This window comes from Homo sapiens, chromosome 12 (assembly GCF_000001405.40).
Source record: "Homo sapiens chromosome 12, GRCh38.p14 Primary Assembly".
NCBI classification, from domain to species: domain Eukaryota; kingdom Metazoa; phylum Chordata; class Mammalia; order Primates; family Hominidae; genus Homo; species Homo sapiens.
The window spans coordinates 90,791,053-90,818,901 of record NC_000012.12 but is presented as its reverse complement, the minus strand read 5'-3'; the positions used below and the strand labels follow the sequence as shown (position 1 = coordinate 90,818,901).

At 34.6% G+C, this 27,849-nt stretch overlaps 2 long non-coding RNA genes across 3 annotated transcripts in view, besides 1 other annotated feature; one reads left to right on the top strand and one right to left on the bottom strand.

Moving 5' to 3' along the window:
- Window positions 7,959-9,158: an enhancer, noted in NCBI's record as "BRD4-independent group 4 enhancer chr12:91203521-91204720 (GRCh37/hg19 assembly coordinates)". NCBI's record gives its function as "activates an origin of replication core promoter dependent on BRD2, P300/CBP, MED14 and CDK7 cofactors, and independent of BRD4, by STARR-seq in HCT116 cells {active_cell/tissue: HCT116}" and the evidence as "EXISTENCE:reporter gene assay evidence [ECO:0000049][PMID:35650434]".
- LOC124903074 (uncharacterized) lies at window positions 8,222-9,695 on the bottom strand. Its single transcript, XR_007063578.1, has 2 exons — window positions 8,885-9,695; window positions 8,222-8,380 (listed from the first exon to the last, which is right to left on the bottom strand). It is a non-coding gene; the product is annotated as an uncharacterized LOC124903074 (long non-coding RNA).
- A 55-nt stretch (window positions 9,696-9,750) lies between these two features.
- Window positions 9,751-27,849, top strand: part of LOC105369895 (uncharacterized) — a 47,008-nt gene continuing 28,909 nt past the window's right edge. Inside the window, exons 1-2 of one of the 2 annotated variants that reach the window (XR_945187.2) lie at window positions 9,751-9,812; window positions 12,111-12,168. This is a non-coding gene — a long non-coding RNA (uncharacterized LOC105369895). Of the gene's footprint in view, window positions 9,813-10,113; window positions 10,264-12,110; window positions 12,169-27,849 lie in introns of those variants that run through there. The other variant, XR_945188.2, reaches the window with a different exon arrangement.

Here is a 27,849-nt window from a genome sequence, read left to right as displayed (position 1 = left end):
GTAATGTGATCACAATGAAAACAGTGTGGTACTGGTATGAGAACAGACATGCAGATCAATGGAACTGAATAGAGCACCCAGAAATAAATTGACACACAAAGTGGTCAATTGAGTCTTCAGAAAAGATGCCAAGATGATTCAATGAAAAAAGAAAAGTCTTTTCAAAAAATGATGCTGGAACAATTGGTTATTTTTACAACAAACAAGCAAACAAAAAAAAAAGACAACTTGAAATGGAACATATACCCAAAACCTAATGCAATAAAACTTCTAGGAGAAAACATAAAGGAAATTCCTAGTGACACTGGCTAAGCAACGATTTCTTAAAATACAAAAGTCATGAACCACAGGAAAATATGTGTACTTAACTTCACAAAATTACAAAAAACCTATCTTGCCTTGAAAGATACTGTTAAGAAAACAGAGTTAAGCCAAACACTGAAATAAATCTTTACAAAATATATTCCATAGAAGACTGTATTTAGTAATACATTAAAACTCTTAACTCTCTGTACTCAGAAAAAATTCCAACTTAAAAAAAATGGACAAAAGATTTGAAAATTCACTTCACAGATAAGATACTAATGTCATGTAAGCTCATAAGAACATTCTCAACATAACTAATCATTAGATAAATACATATAAATTCCAAAGTGAGATACTACTACATATGTACTATAATGGCTAAAACTAAAACAAATACAACTGCTGTTGAACATAAAAAGTAACTGGAACTCTCAACATTGCTGGTAGAAATGCAAGGTAGTACAGATATTTTGGAAAACAGCTTGGCAGTTTTTTATAAAGTTAAACCTACATATATATCAGATAGTCCTGCAATCCCACTCCAAGCTATTTTTTTAAATAGAAAGAATATGTATAGTCATGAAAATAACTGTATGTGAATGATTTTTTAGATATTTCTTCATAATATCCGAAAATTGGAAATAACCCATTGTTCACCAAATGAGGAATAAACAAATTGTGTTATATGTATGTATATGCTTCTCAGTAACAAAGAAAAACTACTACTATACACAAAAACACAGATGAATCTACATAGAATTATGCTAAGTGAATGAAGTCAGACTCAACAGACTTCATTCCTTATGTCATATTCGGGAAAGGTAAACCTATGGTAACTGAAATCAAATCAGTACTTTCCAGGGGCGGAGATGGCAGCAGAGGATTGATGACAAAGGAACATGAAAGAATTTTTGAGGGGGAGGTGGAAATACTTTATGTCTTGATTGTTGTGATGGTTAGATGATTATATACATACAAAACGAAAATAGAGACTCAGAGAAGAAAAATGTAAATTTAGAATGTAATTAGACTCATAAAAGACACAATTTTAAATTTCTGTGTTCTTACCTGATGGATTCAAAGAGGCTATCTGCAAGAATATAAAACTGAAGCAAGGTGGGGAATTGGAGATGGTTCCAGTGTGGCTTTATAGCACAAGATCTAGTCCAGTCTTGAACATAGCTTCATCTGGAGGATTATCATAACGGAGCTGTAGGACTGCACTGTAGGACAATTCATAAGTTACTATGGGACTCTATAGCTCCAATTTCTGGAATCACCCAGTCAGTTCTATAGCTTCACTTATCTCCTGGCCATTCTATATTAAGATGAAGTACAGAAGGGTAGTAACAAGAACAGGGAAACAAGAAAACATTGTTGTGTAAATTGGATTTAAGTTCCTTACTATTTCTAGATCTAAATTGTTCTTATCTATAAAATGAGAGTATTTGAATCCACTTCACAGGGTTGTCTAATAAGTAGAATGGTGCATGTGGAAGCATTATGTAAGCCACAACTTTACTCAAATAACAGTAGTAGTAGTAGTGTGAAAGCTACCCTTACAGAGTCTTGAAATTGTTCCACTATATTTTACGTTAGTCATCAGCAGAGTATTGTGTCAGTTTTCAATAGTTTTAGGAAGAAAAAAAGAATCTGGTGAATAATAAAAATGAGTCAGGGTGTGGAGGAGACACTATGAAGGAAGGTTAAAGTGGTGGGAGGCAGTTAATCTGAAGAAAATATAATTATTTGAATTGGCTCCATTACTGTTTTCATATGGAGAATGGAAGTCAGTTATTAGTCATCAAAGAGTCATAAACAAGATTGAATAGGCACACCTTGACCAATTGGAGCAAACACAATAGAGCATAACAACTTCTTGAACATAATGGCAATTACATCCTGGAACACCCTTCAAAAAGAAGCTTTACTTTACTGGAGATAGGTTAAAAAGCCATCAGTAAAATGATTTAGAATTCGTATGCACAGTGAATGTGTGGGCCAAGTCATTTGCTGAGGTGGCATCTACCTGTCTGCTTTGACAGTGAGCACAAATATAAATGCTTGTGTGCTAAAAGTAACTACACAGGGTTGTCTGAGAGTTCAAACTTGGCTCCATTTTCAAGGTTGCTTCTCGCAGTCTGGTCTATGCACTAGTTCTATCCAAATCATTCTGGTTTCTTTTTCTGTTAAAAATAGCAAATATCTGGATGTTGCCACACCAGTGCTACTCAATCAGATTCCCAGAGAGTCAAACACAAAATTTAAATTTGATAAATATTCAAAGTGATTTTTAATACACAATAAAGATTGTTAATCATTGTTTTAACAAGTGACCTAATCAATTTGCCGTGACTCGTTTCATATAAAAGTATATGTTTTAAGCTTAAATTTTTTTTCCAGATAAAGGTTCTCTAGCTCTTATCTGGTTTAGTTAACCTCCATAATAGTTTAATTGGTAATTAATATTTCAGTCATCTTTATGAACAATTAATAAATGTTGCTTATATTTCATTTGGTTCTTTAATTGTCCAGTTGTTAAGGGAGCAATATCTCCCCACAAACATACATACACTTTTCTATACATGTCATATCTGGTTGGCTTTTCTAAAGACAGTAGGGAAAAAATTGTTAGTTAAAGTAAATATGTGTTAAATGCACAATAAAATTTTAACAAGACATACAGTTACTTTATTTTGTTTTTGTTTTTCTTGTAAGATTATAAGCAGGGAACGTTTGATACTGTAATAGTTGATACAAGTCATTACACATTTGTCCAACCACAAAGTCAAGTTGACTATATAAGAGCGACACGAAGAGTGAACCCTAATATACACTATGGCTTTTAGTTAATAATAATATATCAACATTTTCTTATCAATTATAACATAACAATTATAGAAAAAACTGTATGGAGGGTAGATACATAAACACTCTCTATATTTTCTGCTCATTTTTTTTTTTTTGAGACGAGTCTCTCTCTCTTGGCCAGGCTGATCTGGCCAAGAGATAGAGACATGCAATGGCATGATCTTGGCTCACTGCAACCTCTGCCTCCTGAGTTCAAGCAATTCTGTCACCTTAGGCCTCCCAAGTAGCTGGAATTACAGGTGGGTGCCACCATGCCTGGCTAATATTTGTATTTTTAGTAGAGACAGTGTGTCACCATGTTGGCCAGGCTGGTCTTGAACTCTTGACCTCAAGCGATGCAAACTCCTTGGCCCCCCAAAGTGCTGGAATTATAGGCATGAGCCAATGTACCTGGCCCAATTTTTCTATAAACCTAAACTTCTTCAAAAAAATAAACTCTAACAAATGTAGTCTATTAAAAATTAAATCTACTTGAAAAGAAAAACATTGATATTTCAGGCTATCACTGATGCTATGATAATTTATATCACTAAATGTCATTTATTAAAAATTTACTTGTTATTTTACTAGAAAATATGACTTTTTTTCTAAAGTCATACAGAAATTATAAAACTTGCAAACAAAAATAATTTAGTATATAGCATGCCTATAATACATATTTTGATTACATTTTCTTCACAAATAAACCTCTTGTCATTCAAAAATATTGTGTGGTAAGCAAAAGTTAATAATGACTTGTATATTTTGTTAATGTCATTTTAAGACTATAAATTGCAAAAATAATTGAAATGAAAAACTAGTAACTCTCCTAGTTTATGACAAAGAAATATGACTCTCATTTTAAGATTAAATATACCGTCTTTCTTAACATTTTCTCTGCATTAATGCATAACTTTTATTTCATATCGAAAAGCCAAGAATTAAAGTCTGGTTGAAATAAATAGTTTACTCTTGAACACAGAGGTTAGGACTGCTGACACCTGCATAGTTGAAAATTCATATATAATTTTTGCTTCTCCAAAAACTTAACCACTAATAGCCTGCTGTTGACCAGAAGCCTTACCAATGACATAAACTGTGAACACATATTTTGTATCTTATTTATATCACATACTGTATTCATACAATAAAGTAAGCTGGAGAATAGAGAATGTTATTGAGAACATCATAAGAAAGAGAAAAATATATTTACTCTTCATTAAGCAGAAGTGGATCATCATAAAGTTCTTCATCGAGTAGCCTGAAGAGGAGGAGGAAGAAAAGAGTTTGGTCTTGCTGTCTCAGATGTGGCGGAAATGGAAGAAAACCAGAGTATAAGTGGACCCATGAAGTGCAAACTCCTGTTGTTCAAAGGTTAATTGTACTTCAGGTTTAAATGAATTCGTGTTTCTAGAAGAGGTACAACAGTTAAGCTAAAGAAAACAAGACTGCCTTATTCTCTGACTGGATCTTATGAGATAATAAGGCTTGATACATTTTTATTTCTGATTTAATATATTTGGGAAGAGGAGACCAGTGAAAATGGTGGTCAATGGAATGCCCATTACAAACGTTATGCCCTGGTGACAGACCAGTGCTGTTGTTGTTACATTCTGTCTGTTTGATTGATGCTCTGAGGTTCATTCCTTTAAATCTAGCTCAGGTTTCTGCAGAAAGTTTTTCCCAACTCTGTTTATATTAGTTGCTTCTCTATCATATTCACTTGCATTCTCAAAAGTGGAAGCATCTGTGCCAGTCTCTTTCAAATCCCTGCTTTCCTGGAGCTTGTTTTCTGATGGGGGAAGACTGACATAAAAGAAGATCATGATGGAGAGGAAATACAAGCTACTTAATGTAGTCAAATGGCACCATGTGCAATGGTATGAACACCAGGGAAAAGAGACAGGTAGTGTGTATGAAAGGATATTCAGTTTTGAAACAGGATTTGTAATACCACATTAAAATATGACATTTCATGGAAAATAAACTGGAGGAGATGAAGGAGCAATCCCTGTGGATATTTGAGGTGAGATTACTCCAGACTGAGGAAAAATCAGGTGCAAAGACCTTGAGGCTGTGGTATGATGGACACATCCCAGAAAGAGCTGGAGTATAGTAAGCCAGGGCAGAGTGGTAGGTAATAAAATAAGAGAGTCAGTGGAACAGGAGGGTTAACTGAGGGGGACGGTAGTTTGCAGCAGAGTTTACCAACAGACAAGGATTGTAGCCCAAACTAAAAACATTAGAACAAAGAAGAAAGAAATTAAATACTATTATTGCATACTTCCAGATACCAGAAATATTTGTGGGCATATCTTCTCTCACTAGATCTTAAGTCCTTTGAGTGTGTTACTTAGTCCTATACATCTTTAATTCCTCTTGAATTTGGGAGAACTGCTTCCACAGAATAAGCACCAAATATAAACTTCTTGAATAAACGAATACCTGATTGGATGAATTGAGCAAATGAAATGTACTATAAATAAATAAATAAATAAGCAAATACATTATCTTAAACAGAGTGGGAGTCTGTTGGTCTGTTGGCTTGCTTCGTTGAGAAGTCCAGGGTCTGGAGTTGGCTTCCAAAACTAAAAGAGCACCAGAGCCTGATTCCTCTACCTGCTCTCAATTTTACTCTGTTCCCTGTATTGGCTCAATTCCCAGTTTTTATGTAGTGAAAGTAATAAACGAATAGACATTATTTTTTAAGAACAGTTTTTGTTTTGTAGGCAAAATAATGCAGCAGAAAGTTCCATATGCTCTTCCCAAACGCCTGTTTTTCCTATTTTTAACATCTTTCCTTAGTGTGGTATCTTTGTTACAGTCGATGAGCCAATATTGGTACAGTACTATTAATTAAAGTCCATAGCTCCAGCCTACATCCTTTTAGATTCAAGACTACAGAAAAAAATTTTACAGAGAGATAGAGAAGAAAAAGTTTATTCTCTCCCTTATCATTGAAGTGGGTCTTTGACATGGTTAATACAGGCCAAAATTGAGTGAACTAATCACTGTAGCCAAGAAGGAGATTATGAAGTTTGACTAATTGACTAATCAGGTCCCACTTCTAGTTCTAGTTCCTCAAGAAAATTCAATTCATATTTTACAACAAGAAGAGCCAGATCCAGAGTAGTAACATAGCAGATGTTAACTAAAAAGAGAAATTTAAATTAATCTTAAATCTGTGGATCTCAATGGGTCAGACACTATGAAATCACAGAGGACTTGATCATCTTCCAAACTAGTTCTAAAACGAGCTCTACTAATGTGGCAGCACATTTTAGTGGTTAATAGAAAACAAGTATTACCATTAATGGCATAATGTGCACAGAGATCAAAGTTTAAAATAACACATAAAATCATTTTCTCCAACTTAGGAACAAATAAATAATCTAGTAAAGATTCTGGTTATTAAGAATTGACTATTCAGCTGCTCATTTTGGATCATTAATTGTTAGACTTTTGTGTAATATTTAATTAAAATCATAATTTATTATTGAGATCTTGTGAAGATGAACCATGCTGTGTGTATCAGTTTTATTTACATTGTTGAATAAAAAATTACCCCTAAACTTAGTGGCTTAAAATATCAAATATGTATCTCACAATCTATGTCTATTAAGTATCTGGGTTTGGCTTAGCTAGAGTCCTCTAGCTCAGAACGAGTTCTCTTATAGCTCAGAGTGTTGACTGAGGCTGAGTTATTGGTCATCTCCAGGCTCAATTGTGGCAGGCTTTGAAGCCAAACGCACGAAGCTGTTGTAAGGCCTCAAGGTGGATCTTCAATGATTGGTCATAGACATCAGTTCCTTGGCAAGGGGTTCTTTCCATAGGGCAACTCACAACATGGCAGCTGGCTTAACTCAGAGAGAGGGCTCTCAAAAAATATGAGCAAGAGAGAGTGCCCAAGATAGAAGACAGAGTGTTTTTAAAATTTAATCTTAAAGTGATTCCTATGGCTTTTGCGCTGAGTTATTTGTTAGAAGCAAGTCACTAGGTCAAACTCACACTCAACAGAAAGTAATGTTACAAGAACATGAATGTCAGGAATCAGAAATAATCTTAAGGCTGTCTACTGCAATTTTGGCATCTCACCTATCTGTGAAGTAATGAACAAAAGGAAGCCCTCAATAAATGCTTATTAGTTGATGGGTGCATCTTAAAAACTTGATATCTTCATAGAAAAATGAAACATTTTTTCTCAGAACTTAATCTAACAATTTAACTTTCGAAAGGGTCATATATGTCTTCAAAAGGCTTTGGTATTATTTCGTGAAATAGTGGCATTAATATATTTAGGCATGTATTCAGGGTGTTATATATAATTTGGATGTCATATAAGCAAAATTAGGTGATACTTCTTTTGGAAAATATTCTATTAACAGGTTTTTGCTCTTTCCAATTGAATACTCTGATTTGAAATGCTTTAGTATATTTGTTCTTCTCTTAGGTTTATTTTATCCCTAAATTATCTAGCATTTGTAAATCTAACACAAATATCACTGGCATTTACTTTGGGATTCTCTGGAATTCCTGGAAAATAGACTTTCTGAATTTTTATTTCACATTAGAGTTATGATCTGTACAGAAAAGTGGTCGAGTGCTATTAAAATTAGAATTAGCCTTTGAGTATACTTTCAAATCACAAATTTCTTAATTTGTTACATAGAGAAATGACTAGAATATATTATATTAAAATTGCATCATTATATAGATTCCATTTCAGGTTGTAATACGTTTCAAATACAGCAGTAATTTTATTTGAAAATCTTTGGGAATTCTCTGAAGACATACTATTTTTTGTAATATACATGAACACTGAGGATGTTAAAAATGTAGGAATCAATATTGACTTAAGAAAATTATTTCTTCTCAACTATGTTAACAAAGGACAATATTTTGTCACTCATTAAAAACCAAACTTTTCTAATTGTTTGGGAAAGGGAAAATAATCATTCATTTACGTATGTAATAACAATGTATCCATTATAACACATGATCATCATAAGAAATTGTATTGGTTAGCTTTTTCTGAGGTAAGAAACAGCCTACTAAATTAAAATGGTTTACACAAATAAACATCAATTTATTTCTCATGTATGAAGCCTGAGATTTGTCTGTGGCTCCGCTGTAGGTCTATGGGTTGACTAAAGGTCTGCTTCACTTGAAATTCCATTCTGTGATCCAGGTTAAAGGAACAGCTCCTGTCTGGAATATTCTATTCCTATAGGAGAGGGAAGAAGCACAGGACAGATCAAGCTGAAATAGCCAATTTGCATTAAAGCTTTTATTATACATGTGTGAGCCCTGAAAATCTGAGAAAGGTCTCAGTTAATTTAGAAAGTTTATTCTGCCAAAGTTGAGGACGTGCACCTGGGACACAGCCTCAGGAGGTTCTGACGACATGTGTCCAAGGTGGTAGGGTCACAGCTTGGTTTTATACATTTTAGGGAGACATGAGACATCAATCAATATGTTTAAGATGTACAATGGTTCAGTCTAGAAAGGTGGGACAACTCAAGGTGAAGGCAGGACAACTGGAATCAGGGATGGTGCTTCCAGATCATAGCTAGATAAGAGACAAATAGTTGCATTCTTTTGAGTTACGGATTAGCCACTCCAAATGATGCAATCAGTTGTGAATTTATCTCAGTGAGCAGAGGGGTGAGTTTGAATAAAATAGGAGGCAGGTTTGCCCTAAGGAAATTTATATTTTGTTTTGTTTTACCTGTTGCTGCCCAACTTCAAATGAAGTAGTGCTTCTTTTGTCCAAAGCCAACCCAGGCATTTGTATTTTGAACTTCATTCTTCTTCTATCTTTGTGAATTTTCAGCTTGATTCCTTTTGCTTTATCAATTTTCCCTCCATTCTCTCTTAAGTCTCTTTATTCTGCCATAACCTCTTGCCATTCAAACTAAAAAAGTTGATTTTTTTTAGTCTGAGCTTAAAAAGATATTTTTAGTCTGGTATTTATTAGCATGAACTAAGTAAAGACAAACATGCCAAAACCAAAATTATACAACTAAGTAGAACTCTTTCTAATGACTTCCCGATTATGAAACCCAATTATATTTATGTATTTATGTATTTATTTATTTACTTTTGCCTTTAATTTATTGTACTTCTTGGCACTCAGCTTCTGTTGATATTTTCTACTCCCTTGGGTTTTCAATGCAACTCTCTCTTGGTTTCCTTCACAACTTTCTGGTTAGTCCTTCTATTTATCTCTTCCAAGATTTTGCCTTCTGTGTTTATCCCTGAGAATTGAAGTTTCCTAGGATTCTGTCTGTAGAGAACTGAAGTTATCACATGTTCACTGTAGATGAACTTATAGTTGTATGTTGTTTTAAATGTGCATTTTTTTGTTTTGTCTTGAGTGTCTGAAAACCTAGAGGTTAATAATTGCAAATTTGGGAGTCAGATTATGAATTAAGTTTGCCACTTCTATTTATGTACAAGCTTCTGAAATCCTCCTCTATCCCAGGCTTAGATGGATATTTCTATTCTGGGTCAGGTCGGCCTTTATTCTTCTGAATTCTAATTAATATTGTGACATATGTATAATTAATATTGTGATGATATGCTTGGGTCTCCCTCAATTCCATTAGGCCATGAGAATGTGTATGGGACAGACACAGGAACTTCATTCTATTTATGTGTGTATCTTCAACAAATAGCACAATGACTAGAACATGGTTGTAGGAAGACTTCAACAGCATTAACAAATGGCTTTTTAATGAATTTAACTTTAAATAAATAGTTTCTAAAATGATTTGCTCGAAGCACATTATTGAGGCACTGGAGGAAAATAAGGTTGTGGGTTCACATGGCTGCTGCCGGTCAACTTCACACTTTTGTGTGAATTACAAATAAGCTTCCCTTCCTGCAGGCAGATGCAACTGCACACCAAGTCTTACAGCTTAGTAAGCAGTGTATACCTGCCCCAGTCTTCCTCTTGGGAATAGATTTGGTGTGAGATAAAACCTGTACGCATTTATGGGATGTCTCTGAGTGTTCAAAAATGTTTTGCTGATGAGTAATTATTTTCTAGCCTTGAGCAAATATTGACAATTTTCAAAGTAATTCTGGATTACTACAATTTAAACTGTAAGTCATCAGTACTGATCATTATTTCTAGATAACATGACTTCCTTACTAGTAAATAATCAGAAATATATAGATAAAAATAGTCTTTTTAATGCTCATGGGCATAATAACCTCATTTAGAACTAGCGTATAAATTACTTAAGTTCAATAGATTTAATTTATGTATATGGTGAAATAATACAGCATGATAATTTATATTTATATAAACTATATGGATTTATTATGAGTCAAGCACTCTTCAAGATGTTTTACGTGAATTATTATTTTTTCTTTCCTTAGAATAAGGTAGGTACTCCTATGGACAAGGTTTTCCACAGAAGAGGGAAATGAAGCACTTAACTTGCCCAAGAGCACATGCCTACTAAAAGAAGAATTCTGTGAATATTTAAAGGGCAATTTAAGAAGTTGATCTTGATTCAACTTAAGATGACTACAAAACTTGTTTGAGAATTATAGCCCATTAGAATTATATGTGGGCTACCGTGAAAGACAATTACTTTATCATCTGATAGCTTATTCATTAATTCACTTAATAAAAACTATACTCATTAAGGGCCTACAATGTGCTGGTCATTTTCTAGGCACTGAGGATAGAACTATGAAATTATTTCAAATCCCAAAACCTCATATATCTCAGTAGCTGGCGGGGGGGTCTTAAGCAGCATATTCTTTCCAAAATTAATAAAATAGAGTAAAGCTATTGCTCCCTTCTTAAAATACACTCTAAAATCTTAAAGGAAAGGAAAAAAAAGTTTTCAGTTTTTTATTCTGTTTTGTTTTGTCTTACACATTTGATGTTCCCTGTGTAGTTATTTGTATGCCTGGAAGGGGTTTTATATATATATTTTTAGATCATTTAACTTTTTTATAAAGGGTACAGGGTTGAAAAATGTGAAACTAATGTTATTTTCATTATGATGCTCTTCACTTTTACTATTTTATCCACCCACCTTGTATTATCTTTGATCCTGCAGAGTCTTTCAAGTCTCAACTTGAAAATCCACTTTGTATGCTACTGTGTTCGGTTAAAATCAACACACTGTGACACTAAGCAAAGTGGATATTAAACACAAAAGAGAAATATTTTCAAATAACAATTTAAATTCCTGTGATGCAATTCAGTTTCCTATCATTTTACCTTCTGAACCAATGTACAGGTTGATGAAACCAAATACTGAGTAATTTTTTGGTGAACAGATTTCTGACAGCTTCAAGCATCTAGAACATGAATGCAAAATGGGAAGTGAACAACAGTAGTAAAATCTATTTATCCAGCATCTAGAATGGTGCATTTGTTACAGAAGCTCATGGATTTTGTTTTGTGAGTGAATAATATAGCAATTGATGACTAAATTGTCAGAAATTTTAGGTTTATAAAAGATTTGTTTCTGTTTTCTTCTGTACCTTAAGTCTTTAGTAGAATTGCAAAAGACAGAATATTAGAACCAATGATAGAAATAATTAAGACTCATCAATATAGTTATTCTGACAAGTGAAAGAAAGAAAGAGAAGAATAGTCAAAGTCATGATGTGCTGGAAAACAGCCTGGAATCATTAGGTAGAGGAGAAAATAACCTTTCACAGCTCAATAACTCCTGATGGCATTACTGTTAAACATTATAGGATGGTAAATTCAAATAATCAGGTATTATTCACTCTACCTAAACATCCAAGAAAGTGAGTAATACAGAACTCTAATGGCAATACAGCTGGAATCCACATTCTATGACATTAACATTATAAAATATATATCGTAAAATGAAAGTTAGACCTTTAGAACTGGACAAATTTGTATGTTTTATAGAGTATTTCATGCTCTAATCATTCTCAAACTTTTGTTTCTAAAGGTATAATTCTCCTCCAAGACTAAGGATGTTCTCTGACAGCAGCTGCATCCATGTTAATGTAAGTTCATTATACTTTGATGAGCTGGTAATGTAATTCCTCATAAGGGAAGAGAAAATGATACTTTTTAGTTAACAGACTATTGTATGGTCTTTCAAACAACCAGACAACATTTTGTATCCTATATATCTTTGTGATTTCTACAGTAGATTAAAAAAGATTTAAAATGAAACTACTGATGTGATTAAACTAATCAAAATCCAATATGGGATACTACCAGGAAAAAAAAACTGTCGTATAAAACGAATAGGATTCTTGATAAAAAGAACATTATTTTATATTAGAGTCCAGATAACATATACTAAATATACATGTAATTTAGAGGAGTCTGGAATATAGGCAAATATCAAATCATCCTATAATGTTAGGCCACAATATATTTTCTCAGGCAAAAGAACTTTTAGTACTGATATGTGAATTTAAAAATTTTTACTTTCAGAGTTTCCCCAGTTAAACAAATTAATGAATGTTAAACACTAAAATTGGTGGTATCCCACTTCTGATCATTTATGTTACAATGAATTACTACTCTAATATATCTGGTTTGGAATTTTAATACTTGATATGGCTGATTAAAACCACTTCTCTTGTCTATCAATAGCTCAATATGCCTCTTACTCTGCAATCTTACTCTATAATTAAAATATGTTATTTTGAAATAATTACTTGGATATTTGAATATAGGTGGAAAATGTGATTATTTGATCCCATTGGCATCATCACCATGGTATATAGCTTAGAAACAATGTGATTATGATTACACAAAACATTCTTAAGCATATAAAATAAAACTACCATTCTCATAACTCTATTATTTAAAATAATGTGACCATGTTTGCATAACATATCTTTTGGCACTTTTTCTTTGTTTCATGCGTTATCACTGCTGGAAAAATAGCATAAAAGTTCAAAAATGTCTTAATCAAAAGCTATACTAACCAAAATGTTAAAGATATTTCTACTTAGTGGTAAAATTTGCTAATAGAATCAACAAAGCTTTCCTTTTTAAAAAACATTTTAGGGATTTGCCAATATATGAAATGGTATCTTGAAGCTATGTAAACATAAAACAGACATTCTGTAATAAAAAGGTTATCTTTTCAGTAATCATGCTGGAATAAATTTAGAAAACTGCTACTTTGTTGAAAGTTAGCATTGCCTAAACAACATTTTCTTTGATTGATTATAAATAGGTCAGATTTGTGTTCTGCCTTAAACTTTACACAAAAACTGGTTCTATTTTTTTTACAGTTAATTATAAGCCCACATAATTCCCACATGCTTCCTATAACTCTCTTAATTGAGTAGTCTCATAATTTATATCACTGAGGGCATTTTTTGGGATTAAGGTATTGTATGAAGTCTTCTGTTAAATCCAACACCCAAGGCCAGTCAAATTAAAGGCAGTTAAAATATTTTTTAAATTGATACATAATAATTATATGTATTTATGATGTACATATCATATTTTGATACAGTATACAATGTGTAACAATCAAATCAGGGTAATTAAGATATCTGTCACCTGAAATGTATCATTTCTTTGTGTTAGAAACATTCCAAATCTTTTCTAGCTCTTTTGAAATAGACAATAAATTATTGTTAACCAACACTTTGCGAAAACACATAAAATGGAACTTAAACTATATCACAGACTTAAAACTAGAAGATAAAATCATAAAACTTCTAAAAGGGAACAGAGAAAAAATATGGGTAACCTTGGGTTAGGCAAAGATTTCTTAGATAGTACACAAAAAGCACAAACTATAAAAGAAAAGATAGATAAATGTGATTTCATTAAAATTAAATCTTCTGTTCTTAGAAAACTTCTATGAGAATGAAAAGGCAAGCCACAGACTAAAGAAAATATTTGCAAAATAATGTTCTATATTTAATAAAAGACCTGAATCTAGAGTACATAAGAACATTTTAAATTCAGCAACATGAACATAAAAAATGCAACTTACAAATGAGCAGAAATATTTGAGCAGGTAATTCATAATGTATATGGATGATAAATGACAAGAAAAGATAGTTAGCAGCAGTAGTCATTAAGAAAATGAAATTTAAAGCAGATACTTCTAAGTACACACTAGAAAGGCTGAAAAAAAAAAAAGAAAAAATATGCTAACAAACAACCAGACAATGCCAATTGTTGGTAATGATGTGGAACAGCTAGATACTCATACATTTCTGGTGGAAATGTGTAATGATGTAGCCACTTTGACAAACAGTTTGCAAGTTTTTCATAAAGTTACAAATACACTTATAACCTAACCCAAGTATTTGTCCAAGGAAAATGATAAGTACATATAAATAGTTATATGCTAATTTTCATTGAAAGTTTTTTTAAAATATAATAATTGCCAAACACAAGAAGCGTTCCCAAACTCCATTAACTGGAGATAGATAAACAAATTGTGGTACATCTATTAAACAGAATACCACGCAGCAATGACAAGGAATGAATGCAAGATATTTGACAAAATGGATGAATGTTAAAAGCATTAAGCCAAGTAAAAGAAACTAAACACAAGTCTGTGTGTTTCCATTGATTTGACACTTGAGAAGAGATAAAAGTATGGGGACAGGAAACAGATAGGTTAATAATTGACAAGACTTTAATTGGGGAGAGGGGATTAACTGCAAAGTGATCCAAATAAATTTTTCAGGTTTATAGCATGTTTTATATTTTTATTTTAATGATATTTGCATAATCGCATAGAGTTGTCAAAAACTTATCCAACTATAAACGTAAAATGGATACATTTTATCCTATTTATAATATGCCTTAACAAACCTGACTAAAAAATATGTAATAGGCCGGGTGTGGTGGCTCAAGCCTGTAATCCCAGCACTTCAGGAAGCCAAGGCAGGAGGATCACTTGAGGCCAGGAGTCTGAGACTAGCCTGGGCAACACAGTGAGGTCCCATCTCTACAAAGAATAAAAATAAAAAATTGATTGGGCGTGGTGACACATATCCATAGTCCCAGCTATTTAGGAGGTTGAGATGGGAGGGAGTAGGGCTTGAGTCCAGGAGTTTGAGGTTACAGTGAGCTATGATCATGCCCACTGCACCCCAACCTGGGTGATAGAGCGAGACTCTGAGTCGAAAAAAAAAAGTGAGATTAAAAATCTTACCAGTTCATTCCCTTTCATCTTAATACTACTGTATCATTCCACAGTCTACACTTTGGGGCTTCATAGGATTAGCGTTCCCAGAGCACTAATCCGGAGTATAAATATAGAATATCATTGAAGGGAGAAAGAAATGACCATTGGACCGAAATTAAAAATAATCATTAGATCTGGCCGGGTGTGGTGGCTCATGCCTGTAATCCTAGCACTTTGGGAAGCCGAGGCAGGCAGATCACTGGAGGTCAGGACCAGGCAGGTGAATAGGGTCTGGAGGCAGGAAACCTAAGGCTGTTTCATGCCGACATTCTAGAACTAAATTGAAAGGAAAATCCTAACTTTCCACTCTAAGTAATACAAGGACCAGAGGCTACTCCCTTTGACGCTTTCTGCATGGCAGATGGGAGATTGGCTGTCTGCAACAAATCATACTGAGTGCCAGTGAGTTTTGGTTTGCAACTTTGTAACTTCACTCTAGCCTCTGAATGGCTGCTGTCTGCAACCAATCAGACTGATTGAGGGCTACTACTTCCGTTACATGAGGTGAGCATGAAGTAGCCAATGGGAAACTTCTAGAGGGTATTTGGACCCAAGAAGACACTGTATCCAGGCCCTTGAGCTACTGCTCGCGTCTGCTCTCACACTGTGGAGTGTACTTTCCTTTTCAACAAATCCCTACTTTCATTCTTTTGTTGCTTCATACTTTGTTTGCTTTGCTGGGTGTTCTATCCAATTCTTTGTTCAAAATGCCAAGAACTTGGACAACTTGCAGTCGCCATCCTCTACTAGTGACAAGGAGTTCAAGACCAGCCTAGCCAACATGGGGAAACTGGCGCCTGTAATCCCAGCTACCCCGTAGGCTGGCAGGAAAACCGCTTGAACCCAGGAGGCAGAGGTTGCAGTGAGCCAAGATCGTGCTGCTGCATTCCAGCCTGGACGACAGAGCCAGACTAGGTCTCAAAAAAAAAAAAGGCCCCAAAACAATAATTATGGCCGGGAGCGGTGGCTCACACTTGTAATCCTAGCACTTTGGGAGGACGAGATGGGTGAAACACTTGAGGTCAGGAGTTTGACACCAGCCTGGTCAATATGGTGAAACCCTGTCTCTGCTAAAGAAAATATAAAAATTAGCCTGGCATGCTGGGGTGCACTTGTAATCCCAGGCACTTGAAAGGCTGAGGCAGAAAAATCACTTGAACCCAGGAGGCGAAGGTTGCAGTGAGCCAAGATGGCACCACTGGCACTCCAGCCTGGGCGACAGAGGGAGACTCTGTCTCGAAAACAAACAATAAAAAAACCCCACAATAATCATTAGATGAAAAACCTTAAAGATATCATTGCCAATACAGGATATGAGGTTAGGAACTACCAACAGTAAAATAGATGGAAAATGATCAATGCCATGTGGAGAATGTAAATAAAATTAGTGTGCTGAGAGATCATTACTGTGTATTGATACAATTGCATGTGACCTGGTAAAGATTAAACTGGCAGTTACTAAAAAAAAAATGTTGAAAAGACACAAGTATGCAATCATTGCTTGCTTTTGTTTTCCACTTGCTAGCTATCATTAAACAGGGATCAAAGGCTGTGATAGAGTGCATCATACAATAGGCATGATTCAGTGTGGAGAGTGAGTCAGGAAATAACTAAAGTGAGAGTCGGCCATGGAAGCCCAAGTTGGCTCAAAGGAGGTCCTGAGAGGCAAGGAGCTCATTAAGGATCCTTCTCTAGGGAAGTGGCACAAATATGGCAAAACAAACATGGTAAAAGGGACTCGCAAATTTCATTTTACGGTTTCGTGCTTTCTATATATTCATTGTTAAAAACATATGAAAAATGTTTTTAGAAAGGCTAAGTGTAGAACGCCTATTATTTTAGATGCAGTGTATCTATCTGATGTGGTTTGGATCTGTGTCCTCATCCAAATCTAAATGTAATCCCTAATGCTGGATGTGAGGCCTGGTAGGAAGCAATTGGATCAAGGGGGTGGTTTCTAATGGTTTAAGCACCATCCCCTGAGTGCTGTTCTCCTGATAGAGTTCTCAGGAGATCTGGATGTTTTAAAGTGTGGAGCACCTTCCCCCCTTCTCTCTCTTCCTCTTTTTCTGGCCATGTGAAGATGTGCCTGCTTCCTCTTCGCCTTCTACCATGATTGCAGGTTTCCCGAGGCCTCCCTTGCCATGCTTTCTGTACAGCTTGCTGAACCATGATCCAATTAAATCTCTTTTCTTTATAAATTACCCACTCTCAGGTATTTCTTTATAATGGTGTGAGAATGGACTAATATACTATCTCTATGTCTATCTCTATAGCTACTTATCTATGTATAACATGATATAAAATATAATTGATATAAAACATATCTATGATATAAAACACAATATAAAATTGATATAAAATGTATAATCTAAAACATGATATGAAAACGTATGATAATATTGCAAAGTTGTAAAATGATATCTTATGTTCATAATCTATTTTTATCTGTTTCTGCATTTTCTCAATGATTATGTTAAAAATAAAGTGAATATTCACATATTCTATTACAATAATTACAAATGTCTCATTTATAGTTGAGACCTTGAACTTTTTAAAATTAGGTGTTTTAAAATTTCATAGTCAACATTAAATTCCGAGCAATCGGCAATAAAATTTGCTTTTCCACCCTAAAGACTCAACTTTTTGAGTCACCTTACTGGTTTAGCTGACTCATTTACTGAGTAGCACTTGCGTAACAATAATTGTTTTAAACAACATCTATATATATATATATATACCTTAAGTTCTAGGGTACATGTGCACAAATGCAGGTTTGTTACATGTGTATACATGTGCCATGTTGGTGTGCTGCACCCATTAACTCATCATATACATTAGGTATATCTCCTAATGCTATCCCTCCGCCTTCCCACCACCCCATGACAGGCCCCACTGTATGATGTTCCCCACCCTGTGTCCAAGTGTTCTCATTGTTCAGTTCCCAACTATGAGTGAGAACATGCGGTGTTTGGTTTTCTGTCCTTGCGATAGTTTGCTAAGAATGATGGTTTCCAGCTTCATCCATGTCCCTAAAAAGGACATGAACTCATCCCTTCTTATGGCTGCATAGTATTCCATGGTGTATATGTGCCACATTTTCCTAATCCAGTCTATCATTGATGGACATTTGGGTTGGTTCCAAGTCTCTGCTATTGTGAACAGTGCTGCAATAAACATACGTGTGCATGTGTCTTTATAGCAGCATGATTTATAATCCTTTGGGTATATACCCGATAATGGGATGGCTGAGTCAAATGGTATTTCTAGTTCTAGATCCTTGAGGAATCGCCACACTGTCTTCCACAATGGTTGAACTAGTTTACAGTCCCACTAACAGTGTAAAAGTGTTCCTATTTCTCCACATCCTCTCCAGCACCTGTTGTTTCCTGACTTTTTAATGATTGCTGTTCTAACTGGTGTGAGGTGGTATCTCACAGTGGTTTTGATTTGCATTTCTCTGATGCCCAGTGATGATGAGCTTTAGCAGATTAGGTCTTAAAATAATGACATTACATACTTGTTTTCATGAATATCTCTGTTAGCTCTGCTGTTATTTTTCAAAAAATCAATCTAAATAATTATCTTTTAACTAAAAAATATTGTATTAAGCCTGGATTTTTTGAATCATTATATGGAGAAGTTTTAGTTTTATTACTAAAATTGCTAATGATGTGTTGAGTTATACGTAAAGATAAGTCCCATGAACTCAGATTTTTAGATACTAAAATAAATCAACAAGGCTAGAACCAGCATGGGGTTAATATACCAGAGTAAGAAATACACATGCTGGAGTAGGAGACAAAATGGCAATATCAAAGTAAGATCTAAAGTTTTGATAAATGAAGCAGGTAAAGAACAGCTCAGAAAAAAAAGGCATATTTAGTTTCAAGCTGACCTTGGATTTCAATCTGACTCTCACTGTGGAGTTGATTTCTGTATTTTTAGCCTGACTACTTCCTAGCTCAACTTCCACATATTTGGTCATATTTTTTCTTGCACTCTCCTGCTTTCTTGCTGTCTTTCTTTCCTCAGTTGACAAATATTTAATGAGCACTTACTGTCTGCTAGGAACTTTACTAGACAGATGCATTTAGGTTGTTTTTTTATTTAAAAGGCATTATTTAGTTAACATTCAATAATATTACTTAATATTAGGAACATATATTTTTAATAATGCTTAGTTTCACATTATAACAATATATTTGAGTGTAGCATGTACAAATTATTAAATAGAAGTCAATGGTTTCATTTATTTTACTTTTTCAATCAATTGCTTGGAAATTTCTACTCTCAAAATTTGTAGAATGTTCAGTGTTCTCCATTTGAGGCTTTCCTCTTTTCTAAACTGCCCAAGAGTCAAGCCGCTTACTCTGTCAATGGGAAATTTGTCTTTTGTCTGATACGTGGTGCATAGGTGAATGGAAAATGTATAGCTGTGGCTCCTCCTGTCACCCTGATGCTATCTAAATGGTGGAGGTGTCAGTGCAAAGATGGAACTGTGTCCTCATTGAAGGGATAATTAAAATGTAAGCTTCTTTCATGTTTAGGAATGCAAATCACAGAGATCTACTGGATCAGATCTTCTTTCATATGTACCCCTACATACCCCTAGAGCAGGTTTTTTGACCTAGGCATTATTGACATCTTGAAACAGATAATTTTTTTTTCCTGTGGAGCAGAGGGTCATTCTGTGCATTTCAGAAGATCTAGCAACATCCTTGGCCTTGCTAGATACTACTAGCAACCCTTCACTTAAAATGGTAAAAAATGCCTCCAGACATTGCCAAGTGTCCTCTGGAGGTGGTGGTGTGAGGGCAGAATTGCTCCTTGGCAGAAAAACACCAACCTAGACTTAGGAAAGTATAACATTTAATTTAATTATCTCTCACTGGGGACTCAATTTAAATTTTTCCTTATGATTGTTCTCCTTCAGTAGGATTTGAAAATTTTATGAAATAAAAAAAAAGTAAAGTCTATGCATAAGTGGCTAACCAGTGATAACTAATCACTGCAGGCCCCTTCAAAATTTCCTTATGTTTTTCTATAAATATTTACACATAATATAGATTTGTGTATATAAATTATTGATTCCTATTTTTGCAATGAATAATATTCTTTGAAAAATATAAGAATTGGTGAATGCTTATGTATGTGGTCATGCATTTAATCACTTGATTAGCTGTTAAACAAATCTTCTCTAACTCAGAATTACAACTATTTTTAAATTTTGACTATTAGAAGACAAAGATGAATATTACTGTGAAACTAAATGTTTAATTATTTCCTTAGGAAAAAAATCCTGAAAAGGACAAAGGATATAAACTTGTTAAAAACTTTTAATATAAATTGATAGAACACTGTCCAGAAAGACTAACATTACTATAATGTACAGAAATTCTTGTTTACATGTATATTCTCTAACACTGGAAAATAACACTGCAAATTAAAACATAACAAAACAATACTATCAATCACGTGAGGGGAAGTACTTTAAATTTATATTCTATGTATCCCTAAATAATCAGTCAAATGTAAGAAAGAAATAAGAACATGATTATTTCTGAAAAATCACAAAAATTGAATTTCTCAGCTATTAAGAGAATGTACTTAACAAAAAGGGGATAAATAAAAATGGAAAAAAAAAACAAAGAACATAGAATATGGGAAAGAAAGAAACCAACATGGGGTTAAGGGAAAAGAAGTTCCAGGAGAGAGGTCTCCTGGAAAAAAAAAAAAGGATCTAAAGGATTATATAATACATTTGTCTATATGATTAATTCTATTCTGGGTAGTAAACAGGCTGAATCTAAAGTGGCCCCCAAGGATTCCCACTTTTTAATATTTATATCTTGTGTAATTTCCCTATTTTGAGTGTGGGCAGAGTCTGTAACTTCATACTAACCAACAAATTTAGGCAAACGTCATGGGATGTCACTTCTGTGATGACATGACATACAACTTCAACCCATTTTATGAGGAGACACTCTCCCTTGCTGGATATAAGAAAGCATGTGAGCATACTGGAAGGCCCATGTGGCAGGGAACCAAGCAAGGGTATCCTCCAGTCAAGGAACCCAATCCTCTAACAGCCCATAAGAAACTGAGCAGTGCCAAGAACAACCTGATGTTGGAAGCAAATCCTTCACCAGTCAAGCTTCAGATTAGACAAGAGTCCCATTTGCCTCTTTCATTGTAGCTTTATGAAAACCTCCAGCAGAAGACCCAGCAAAGCTATGCTGGGACACTTGACCCAAAAATGCACTAAAATAATAAATGTATATGTTTTAAGCTGCTAAGTTTGTAGTAATGTTTTACTGCAGCAGCAAAAACCAATAGTAATAGATTAATAAAGTCAACTGTATATGCAAAAGTTAATAATATATGGAAACTAAGCAAATAAAAAAAGTTTATGATTAGGGAATTTTATAAAGAAAACTGGGCTGGGTGCGGTGGCTCATGCCTGTATTCCCAGCACTTTGGGAGGCCAAGGGGGCAGATCATGAGTTCAGGAGATCGCGACTATCCTGGCTAACACAGTGAAACCCCGTCTCTACTAAAAATACAAAACATTAGCCGGGCATGGTGGTGCGCACCTGTAGTCCCAGCTACTCGGGAGGCTGAGAGAGGAGAATGGTGTGAACTCGGGAGGCGGAACTTGCAGTGAGCACTTCAGCCTGGGCAACAGAGTGAGACTCCGTCTCAAAAAAAAAAAAAAAGAAAGAAAGAAAACTGAATAAAGTCTTAACGCATGCATGTGTTCTTTATTTTGTATCACTCTTGGTTTATTTCAAGGGTTTTTTTTTAGGAAGTATATGTATATATAATATGTATTATTATATATATATATTATAAACCTTCATCTCTGTGAATTGTGACTTGTCTTACAACAGAAAAAGCTAGATTACAAACATTAACTATCTAAATTCCTTTTACATCTTCTGGGATTCAGTGTTGCAGATATCAACCAGATATTTTCCATTGTCAGTGACCACTTTTATAATTTAGTATTTTTCATAATGCTTACATATTTCTTTATTATTGTTTCGCCTAACTTTGTCTCTCTTCTTGTTAATTTTACTCATATGTTATAAGCTGTATTTCCATTCTATTTTCAAGCTTAGAAAAGTATTTTTTAAAATACATATTTTTATTATTTTTGTTTTTTTTTCCGTTTGAGAACATACATACTTTTTACGTTGATCCTGGATTATTTTGCCTCCATCCTCCTTCAATATCTATCATCTAATCTATCATCATGTTTATCTTCTACTCTTGTCTAAATTGCATCTTTTGTTTTAGTGATTGAATTTTCCAGTGTTAATCGTGTTCTTTGGGTTTACCTGTGCCAACTTCTCACTTAAACCAGCTCGAACATTATTTTGAACTTTATCTCAACCTGTTTGGTCCCTGTAGTTTGTTGTCTTATATCCTGAAAGGACAACCTTTGGGTTGTTCCAAAACAAACAAACAAAAATATATTCTTTTCTCCCTTAGCTCATGGCTGCACAGGTACAGACTACATTTCCCAAAAATGTAACTTGATGTGACCGTGTTATTTTATTCCAGCAAAAAAGATTAGAGTAAGTAGGAGTTTCCACTTCCATGTAATTTCTAAAATATACATAATTCACGTTCCTTGGGCCATATCTTTTCTACCTTCCTGCAGTCTGCAGTGTGAACATGGCAATGGCCTTCAACCATGGAACCAAGTATAACAATGGCAGAACAACAAGATGGCAGAAACCTGGGTTCCTAAATAACCCTGTGGTAGACTGCTGACTCCCGCTGTAGATTGGCTGTACTGTCACATCAGAAAGAAACCTTCGTTTTAATTATTGTGCATCAGAGATTTATAGTTACAGCAGCCGAGGCTTTGCTCAAATCAATACCATTGCCAATTTACTTCTTAAATAATTTCTTCTCTTTATGTACAAAATACTTTTTGGAGGTAGGCCTCTACATCTTCAGGATTGTTTTATTTTATATTTTTCTTTTAGGAGAAAATGCTTTTTAGAGGCCCTCCATAAGTCTTTCTTTTCTTTAAGACTCAGGCTTGATGAAACAAAGAGTTCTCCCAGTATCAATGTTGCCCAAAATTTAGGATATGTAGCTTGTGCTTGGCCCTGAACCCTGGACTAGTCCTCTCGTATAGTATCAGAGGGAAGGCTGAGAACGAAGCAGACAGGGAGCAAAATGAAAGATAGAACAGTCCCATAGATGGCATGGCCAGTGCATACAAGAAAAATTATTGCATAGCCTTATTTTCTGTATAAACAACTGAAATGGCAGAATGTTCAATTTAAAAACAAATCCCTAGAAACACCACAATCAGAATTAATAAAACCTGACTCTTCTGTCGATCCCTGCAGAACTGAAGAAAGGTCCCAGCCCTTATCCCCATGTTTAGTGTTTCATAGCCATTCACTTCCTGTAGCTTCATTGGGTTGCAATATTATCTTCACTCACTCTATTATTTCTATATAAAACTTTGAAATGATGAAATACAAGGGAGAATATATTTTACAAGATGCAGTACTGTTCATTCTTTCCCTCTCCTTAAATATATTACTTATTTGGTGTCTTTGTCAACTGGAATTGGTATAACAATGTAGCATTGACTGGGTAGCTTACAAATAAAAGAAATTTATTTCTCACACTTCTGTAGACTAGAAGCCCAAGACCAGGATGCCAGCATGGCGAGGGCCCTCTTTACCGCTGCAGATTGCTAACTTCTTGTTGCATTCTCCCATGGTGTAAAGGGGAAGAGATAACTCTCTGAAGTTCTTTCTATAAGAGCACTAACCCCATTCATGAGGACTCCACTTCATGACCTAATTACCTCCCAAAGGCCCCATTGCCTAACACCATCACATTGGGGGTTAGAATGTCAACATTTGAAATATGGGGAGACATAAACATTTAGTTGGTTGCACTTGTGGACCATCTGCTAAGATGTAATGTGAAGCTGTTATTTCTCCTAGTCCTGAGGTATTCATTATTTGCACTAAAATTTTGCAATATAGGAATAAAAAAGTACAATGTGATCATGTGTATTTTTTGTGGGGTGTGGAAGATTAGGGAACACATTCCTGTTGCCTCATAAATTGAAATCAATATGATGTAGAGAAGACTGCTCTATTTTCTCGATTATGCAATCCGTGGATCCACAAATCAGGAAGAAAATGTGTGAGAAAACATTTCCTGGCCATCTCTCAGACAAATGAGTCTGTTTACTTTCCAAGGGTAATTTTTTTCAGTTTTAACTCACAAAATGATTCTTCTTTTTCACTTTGTAGGCCTTATAATTAGTGCAAATTGTCTGAAATTAGATTGTTGTCACTCTTACTTTCATATGTTGTTATAATTGTGGGTTGTCATACTTTTGTTAAGTCCTCATACGTGTCCTAAATGGAATTTTGGAGATAATGAGCCAGCTTAAATAGGAAGGATGGTTATTACCATATATAGGATCAATATAATTTTGAATTATTTGGGTAGAAAGCATTAATAATTAAAAGAAAACTTTTAAGAATCAAGTTTGGGAGTTATATCATTAACATTGTACTTTTAGCACTTTATTGAAATTAGCTAGCTATTTAATCAGCTATAATGTATAAATTAAAATCAGCTATGTATTATAGTTAGTTTCTATTGCTCCTGTCATGGGCCAAGATATATTTTTGTCACACATATTTTACATTTGGGGAGCAGTAGACATGGGGAATGAAATTCTGAAGACTTGTTTAATACCATTTTAATTCTCAACCTGGGTATGTTTAAAATGTTTTTTTCTCAGTTGCCCATGGATTCTTTTTTCAAGACAGATTGAGGCAAGAGAATGTGTACACATATTCATTTGAATTTATCTACACAAACTACAGGTAGACTCTTTATTCTGTAGAGATAAAAGAAAATCTAAAAATCCTTGGTATGACTGTTAATATCTAGAATACTGTACTACATGTTAAGTAGCCTGAATATCTATCAACAGCAGGTTAATGACAACATAAAACATAATGTGGAGCAGGATCATCTGTTTAAATGATGTGTATTTTTTTCAGTCCTATAAGAAACTCAAAATAACAAAAAGCAATTTCTGCATATGAAAATACCCATCAGACTACACACTAAAGAGAGCCAAAAGCTTGTCTCAGGTTTTGTGAGTCCTAAAAATTAATTTTGAGGGTCCTGTTTAAGAAAAATAATACAAAATTATGAATTCAAAATAAAGTATGAAAATGAACATTTACTTAGACTAAGAAAACAAATCATAATACACTACAAATTTTGAAAAGTCAGGAAACAACAGATGCTGGAGAGTATGTGGAGAAACAGGAACGTTTTTATGCCATTGGTGGGAGTGTAAATTAGTTCAACCATTGTGGAAGACAGTGTAATGACTCCTCAATGATCTAGAACCAGAAATTCCATTTGACCCAGCCATCCCATTACTGGGTATATACCCAAAGGATTATAAATCATTCTACTATAAAGACACATGCACACATATGTTTATTGCAGCACTGTTCACAATAGCAAAGTCTTGGAACCAACCCAAATGCCCATCAATGTTAGACTGGATAAAGAAAATGTGGCGCATATACACCATGGAATACTATGCAGCTATGAAAAAGGATGAGTTCATGTCCTTCCCATGGACATGGATGAAGCTGGAAACCATCATTCTCAGCAAACTAACACAGGAACAGAAAACCAAACACTGTATGTTCTCACTTATAAGTGGGAGGTGAACAATGAGAACACATGGGCACAGGGAGAGGAACATCACATACAGGGACCTGTTGGGGGGTTGGGGGCTAGGGGAGGGATAGCATTAGGAGAAATACCTAATGTACATGACGGGTTGATGAGTGCAGCAAACCACCATGGCACGTGTATACCTATGTAACAAACCTGTACGTTCTGCACATGTATTCCAGAACTCACAACAACAACAAAAAAAACTGAAAAACATCACAAAATCCTGAAAAAATGCATAATTTACTACCTAACCCATCTCCATAATGTTATTTGTTCCTTTACGCTTTTCTTGTATACTATTTGATCCTTTTTATATAAAAATGACTCTACAATATCATTTACAGAAAGAAAATGGTAATTCAATTGTCATCTAGCGAAGTTGGTCACAATTTACTCTTATTAGTAGTAATTTAGAAAGCTTTTAGCTTCGCAACTATCCCGCTCCCTAGCCTGTGTAACCATGCTAGCAATATATCTGGCAGTACTGCAAGCCAATAAATATATCCATTCCACCAAACTTAACTCCTTTACCAAATTTCTAAAATACTATCATCTACTCTAATGTCCCTCTGTCAACCCCTGCAACCTTCACACCCCCACATATGTGAAGAGAATCTACCTAGAAGTTCATAGAGGAAAGGATAGTAGTTTAACCAAATGTGATTAAATTTCTTTAGTTTTGTAAATTTTGCAGAAACTTATGACTGCCACATGAACAAATTTCTCAAGTCTTTCCAGGGATTTGGAAGGGACTCAGAAAAGTGAAGTTCTGAAGCTTAACCTTCTTTCACTTCTCAGTATACCTGCTCCTGGTGTTATTACGAATCCTCCTACATCGTCCAAACACACACATACCCTGAGATTAACAATATGGTATGAAGAAAACATCCTAAAAGTCTTATTTTGGAATGTTTGTTTGTTTTGGTTTGGGTTTTGTTGTGTCTTATCAAGAAAGGGGCTGCAATTGCCACAGATAAGCAAGAGGAAAATGAGTCAAAGATGGTGGCCCTATGAGGAATGGTTCTATAGGGAAGAATTTCTCCAGAGGCTGAAAGAATACATATTGCTGCCAATTACACCAATAATGGGAATTTAAGCCCCAGCCAAATGTAGTACCTCTCAGACAGTGATGACTAAATGTGAACCAGATGTTAGATGCTATAGATTAGAAACTTTGGATAAAAACTATGGACATGGTATGGAAAGACTGAAGAAAGGGTTTTTGAATGGACCATCTCGTCGTGCCCAAGGGGTAATAGGAGATAAGTGGTGGCAAAAATGATAACGATTAAATTTCACAACCAGCTGGTGAACAGAGACTATTCCAGAGTTAATTTGCTTAAGGAAAATGACTTTTATTTTTTAACCTCAGAATCTATGCAGCAGATTCATACTTGCTACAAATACTTTGCATATTCGTAATTATCAGTAGCATTTAAAAATAGATCTGTAATCACATGAACCTCTTCATCCCTTAACTTGTAAATATAAAATCGTTAGGAAAATACATCTAAAACTTAGAAATAGGCAAGGAGGATCACTGTTTATTCTGTCAGGGTCATGCAGTGACACTTTATGTCTCTAGGTGAGTGTGCCTTTGTTTAATTTCCCATTTACTACTTATTAATATATTTTACAGCTCTAAAGTAAAGATGTTAATTTGTAGATAAGCAAAAAGTATGCAAATAATACTTGTCCTATAGTAATGATGACTCCTCTCTCGTAGCTTTGCAAATGAATT